At 40.2% G+C, this 6,000-nt stretch overlaps 1 long non-coding RNA gene across 1 annotated transcript in view; it reads right to left on the bottom strand.

Moving 5' to 3' along the window:
• Positions 1-1,357: 1,357 nt before the first annotated feature.
• LOC105370502 (uncharacterized) overlaps positions 1,358-6,000 on the bottom strand; it is a 73,457-nt gene continuing 68,814 nt past the window's right edge. The window contains exon 6 of the long non-coding RNA XR_007064168.1: positions 1,358-4,555. This is a non-coding gene — a long non-coding RNA (uncharacterized LOC105370502). The remainder of the gene's footprint in view (positions 4,556-6,000) is intronic.

Raw genomic sequence — 6,000 nt, 5'->3', positions numbered from 1 at the left:
AGCTCAAGCTCTGTGTTGGCCCCTTTCAGCCATGGCTGGAGTGGCTGGGACACAGGGCACCAAGTCCCTAGACTGCACCCAGCAGAGGGACCCTGGGTCTGGCCCAGGAAACCATTTTTTTCTCCTAGGCCTCTAGGCCTGTGAGGAGAGGGGCTGACACAAAGGTCTCTGACATGCCCTGGAGACATTTTCCCCTTTGTCTTGGGAATTAACATTCGGCTCCTCGTTACTTATACAAGTTTCTGCAGCCAGCTTGAATTTCTCCTCAGAAAATGAGATTTTCTTTTCTATCACATTGTCAGGCTACTAATTTTCCAAACTTTCATGCTCTGTTTCCCTTTTGAAACTGAATACTCTGGCCGGGCCTGGTGGCTCATGCCTGTAATTCCAGCACTTTAGGAGGCCAAGGTTGGGGGATCATGAGGTCAGGAAATCAGGACCATCCTGGCCAACATGGTGAAATCCCATCTCTACTAAAAGTACAAAAATTAGCTCGGCATGGCAGTGTGTGCCTGTAATCTCAGCTGTTCAGGAGGCTGAGGCAGAAGAATCGCTTGAACCTGGGAGGCAGAGGTTGCAGTGAGCCTTGATCGTGCCACTGCACTCCAGCCTGGAGACAGAGCTAGACTCTGTCTCAAAAATAAATAAATAAATAATAAATAAACAAACAAACAAACCTGAATACTTCTAACAGCTAGACTCTGTCTCAAAAATAAATAAATAAATAAATAAATAAATAAATAAATAAATAAATAAACAAACCTGAATACTTCTAACAGCACCAAGTCACCTCTTGAATGCTTTGCTGCTTAGAAATTTCTTCCACCAGATACCCTAAAACATCTCTCCCAAGTTCAAAGTTCCACAAATCTGTAGGGCAGGGGCAAAATGCCACCAGTCGCTTTGCTAAAACATAACAAGAGTTACCTTTGCTCCAGTTCCCAACAAGTTCCTCATCTCCATCTGAGACCACCTCAGCCTGGACCTTATTGTCCATATCATTATCAGCATTTTGGTCAAAACCATTCAACAAATCTCTAGGGAATTTCAAACCTTCCCACTTTTTCCTGTCTTCTTCTGAGCCCTCCAAACAGTTCCAACCTCTGCCTGCTACCCAGTTCCAAAGTCACCTCCACATTTTTAGGTATCTTTTCAGCAAAGCCCCACTCCCAACACCAATTTCCTCTATCAGTCCATTTTCATGCTGCTGATAAAGACATACCCAAGACTGAGAAGAAAAAGAGGTTTAATGGACTTACAGTTCCACATGGCTGGAGAGGCCTCACAATCATGGCAGAGGTTAGGAGGAGTAAGTCATGTCTTACATGGATGGCAGCAGGCAAAAAAAGAGCTTGTGCAGGGAAACTCCCCCTTATAATACCATCAGATCTCGTGAGACTTATTCACTATTACAAGAAAAGCATGGGAATGACCTGTCTCCATGATTCAATTACCTCCCACTGGATCCCTTCCACAACATGGGAATTCAAGATGAGATTTGGGTGGGGACACAGCCAAACCATATCAGTCCCCAACCCAATCAATTATTTATTGGCACCTTCAACAAGCATATTACTTTGTTTCCTCTCTTTCCTTCCTTTCTTTCTTCCTCCTTTCTTTCTTCTTTTCAACACATGTATACTAAATGCTGACTATCGACCAGGCACTATTCCAGGCAGAGTGATCCAATGGTGAATAAGACAGACCCTCATGGGGTTTTCTTTCTAGTAAGAAGATACACAGTTAAAACAGCCATTTTAAAACTTATGCTATCTGCTATGATAGGATAAGAACCTAATAGAAGACCTAACCAAATTCCTAGTGGGTTAGGTAAAGTTTTCTTGGGGACAGGACATTCAGGCTTAACCCTGAAGGAAGACAGAAAGTAAGAGTGGTCCAGGCACCTACCATATGAGATGTCCTTGGATTTCTTCTTTTCTTTTTCAGTCTTTCTTCAAAGATATTAACTGCCAGCGCTTCTGTTGCCCACAAAGTCAGGTAAGATACCTCAGTCTGGCCTTTGCTGCCAGTGGCCCCCATCAACAGCACCTCAAAACCCAATTCATTTTCTCCCTGCTTCTCAAATTTAATTGTCTTCTTCCAGGTTGAATTTAATTGCAACTTAAATTATCTTCAAAAAGATGACACTAAGATTGTGAATGGGTTTTTTAAAAATTGCATTTACAGAAAGGTACAGAAACAAAACAATAGAATGTAAATTTGGTATAAGGGAAACAAATATTTATATTCAGTAAATGATTGCAATTCCTATTATGTTGGAATTGCAAGAGTTTAAGAGGCTTTTCCCTGCTTCCTCAAACAGGACTCTCAATGGTTGCAACCTGGTTAAGCAAAAGAAAATTCTAAGTTCAGCGTCTCCTTCTGCTCACATGTGAAATCAAAGCTACCTAACAGTTCAAAAGTTTCCATGTGCCCACGAAGAGTAAGTGGTGGTGCAGGCTGGCAAGCCCATGGTAGCTGTCTCAACAGGGCCAGTGGTGACCCTGTGGCTTGGAACCACAAGGCAGATTTCCCTCACTGGGAACCAATTAAGATCACAACCAGACTTCTAGGGGGCACCTAGCACTCAACACACCACTGAAGACCATAGGTTCCTCACTAAGCTGGAAGAAGAAATCTAGAATTCACCAGAGGCCAAGTTCAGCCACAGATTCTAGTAGAGTGAGCAGTGGCCAGAAATATAAGGGAATCATCTTGACATAGACTAGCAAGGACTAAAGGGAGGCCCACAAGCACAGTAGGGACACAAGGCCCACTGCCCCTCCTCAGCAAAAGGACCTGGCAAATGCCCTATATACACAATCACCACCTTGGGGAGTAGAAGAGAAACGGAGGAGAAATCTGAATGATTGGTAATTTTTTTTAAAAAAAAGGAATAAAGGACTGTTTAAATAATTAGATTGAACTAAGTTGACTGAATTGAACAAATTTGGGTGGTTTTCTCCTAGTATTCAACTCTTTTTCATAATGATCTTACTTTGTAGATTGCTTGAAATTTGCTTCTCGCTTAATTAAGACCATGTTCTAGAGATGTTCCTAGGTCAGTACACATAGATCTACCTCATTCTTTTAATCTACCATATGCTATTCCATTCACTATAACAACTTATTTAACTAGCACTGTAAGGGAAAGAGTTCAGTTGTATCAGTTGTTTATCCTAAAATAAACAGTGCTGTAATTCTCACCCTTGTGAACCACCACTCCTGCATCAAACTCAAGTGCTTAATTGTCTTCCCAGCCACTATCTCAGGTCATCATTGAGATTAAGGTGGTCTACCAGACCTGGCCTAGTAGGGAACACAATTTAAACTCAGGTTTTGACTCTCTGCTATTAGAAGGTGAAAGTCAACCTCACCAGATAAGTCCAGTAGCCTGATTACCATCATCATCATCATTATCATCATCATTGTGCTCACTCTAGGGCAGGCATGGAATTATACCTTGATCTATGTTTTATCATTTATCAGTTGGGAAATACCTGGCTTGCTCAGAGCTATTGAGCATGGTTAACTAATTACATGCTAAGAGTTCGGGCAACCCTTGTCCCAAAATTACTTTCCTGAAAACCTGAGTTACCCAGCTCTTTTTGGGCTATGCCTCCCACAGAGCACAAAAGCAATCATCAGCCTGTACTGCTACTGCTCAACCAGTTGCCTGGGGCCCTCCAGATTACACAAAGTTCTAGATTAAAGCCATCTCTTCTGCTGGAATGGGTCTGAACACAATTTCAGGGTCTTAACTTTGGGGATACAAACCAGGCTTACTAAAATGCCTAGTATGTCCTGGATTGGCTGCTCACAGGGCTATATCGTGCCACAAGCAAGGGGTACTATAACGTTTTTTAAAAGAAACACTCAACAAGATTTAAAAGTAATTAATTTTAATTAAAAATAATTTATTAATTACTTGATGGCCTTAAACTAAAATAATTAAATATGTGCATTGCTTAGAAATTATTGTGATAAATAATTTTTATTAATTGCTTTCTATTAACATAAATTATGAATCATTTCAGGCAATTTGCATTTGTAGGTTTGTTTTCTTCCTGTGTACATATTAATTTTCTATCTCAGCTATGTTAATGCTTCTATTTAAATAAATTCTTTTTTGTTCTTTTAGTTTAAAAGATTATATGTATAAAAGTAGTTTAATGCCTTACTCATTGTAGTAGTTACCATTTCAAAGCACCAATTTCTATATTAGTTGTAGTAACAACAGCTGTAAGATAACTCCCTAAATACCTGGCTTACCATAATAAAATGTGTTACTTGCTCATGTCAATTCCTAACATGAGAGTAGAGTGGAGCTTCTACTCCAGGCAGTCATTCAGGGTCCAAGACTTTGAAGGTTCTGCCATCTTTGTCTTAAGGTCATCCAGGAAATAGATGCCCAGTAGAAGGGAGAGAATGGAGGTTTCAGAGTCTTTCTGAATCAGGCTCGAAAGTGGAGTACATCAAATATGTCTTATTCCACTGGCAAGAATTCAGTCACTGGACATACCTAGCCTGAGGGAGCTTGAGAAATGTGGTTTACCTGCGGGCTCAGGCAGAAAAAGAAATTGTTTGGTAAACAGCTAGCCAATTTGTGTCTTGCCTTTTCACCTAATAATGCCACTCCTGGACCTCTCCTCAATAACCAATCCAAAATACAAAATGTTTTACATATACAAAGATGTCTTATAATAGTGAAAAAAAACTGGAAGCATCCTATATATGTAAAAATAATTAAATTAAATTCTAATGCAGCCACTTGATAGATTGAATTCAATGCAGTCATTTAAAAAGTTTTATTGAGTCTATACAGAGACATTGGGAAACACTTAGACTATAAAGAGAAGTGAAATAAAAGCAGAGTCCAAAATTGTATACACTGATTATGACTATATTCAAATGTTCACAGTAAAATAAAAGATTGTAGAAAAAGTACAAATAATTTTAAAAGTTATAATAATGATGGTCATTTAATGCATGCCTGCGATAAGCTAGGTGAAGTACTAACAACTTTAGATGTATTATCCCTAATGCTTACTACCTTGGTACCCTGCAAGATAAATATTACCTGTTGCAGGCATAGTGAGTTGCTAATAGATCTTGTGGAGAAGATAGGCCTCAACCTCATCCCCACACTAAATCAGTGGTTGATGGGCGTGGCCCAGTGGAGCAGATGTAATCTAGTTTTGACCAATGAGACATAATGAGAAGTCTGCCAGAGAACTTTAGGAAAAGGTTTCTTCCCACATAAAAGACAGAGCCTCCTCGTGAGGAGAGAATCCTATTGTCTCCACTCCTTGACTCTCTGCTTTGGCTATAACTATGTGAGGCATTATTTTGGACCTAAGGTGGTCATCTTGGGGCCATGACTTGACCAGCCTAACAATAAGAAGCCAATGTTCTCAGAATAACAAAGGAAAACACACACACACACACACACACACACACACACACACACACACACACACACACAGCCTGGATCCGGAATGACATTGTTGAGCTGCTCCATCAGTACCACCATAACTTGCCCTCAGAATACTTTTTTTTTTCTTTTTTCAGACAGTCTCTCTCTGTCGCCCAGCCTGGAGTGCACTGGTGCAATCTTGGCTCACCACAACCTCCGCTTTCTGGATTCAAGCAATTCTCCTGCCTCAGCCTCCCAAGTAGCTGGGACTACAGACGTATGCCACCACATCTAGCTAATTTTTATTTTTATTTTTTTTTGTATTTTTAGGAGAGATGGAGTTTCGCCATATTGGTCAGACTGGTCTCAAACTCCTGGCCTCAAGCAATCCACCCACCTCAGCCTCCCAAAGTGCTGGGATTATAGGCATAAGCCACCCTAGAATTTTTTTTAAGTGATATAATTTAATGTCTTTACAGTTTAAGCCACATTTAATTGGGTATTCTGTATTCTCAGCTGAAGATATTTCCAAATAATACATTATCTTTTTTTAATAGGCCTTACAGCCAGCAGTGTAAGAAACA

The sequence above is a fragment of the Homo sapiens genome, chromosome 14, assembly GCF_000001405.40.
Source record: "Homo sapiens chromosome 14, GRCh38.p14 Primary Assembly".
Lineage (NCBI taxonomy): Eukaryota > Metazoa > Chordata > Mammalia > Primates > Hominidae > Homo > Homo sapiens.
Note: the sequence above shows the minus strand (reverse complement) of the source record. Positions and strands in the feature narration are given on the sequence as shown.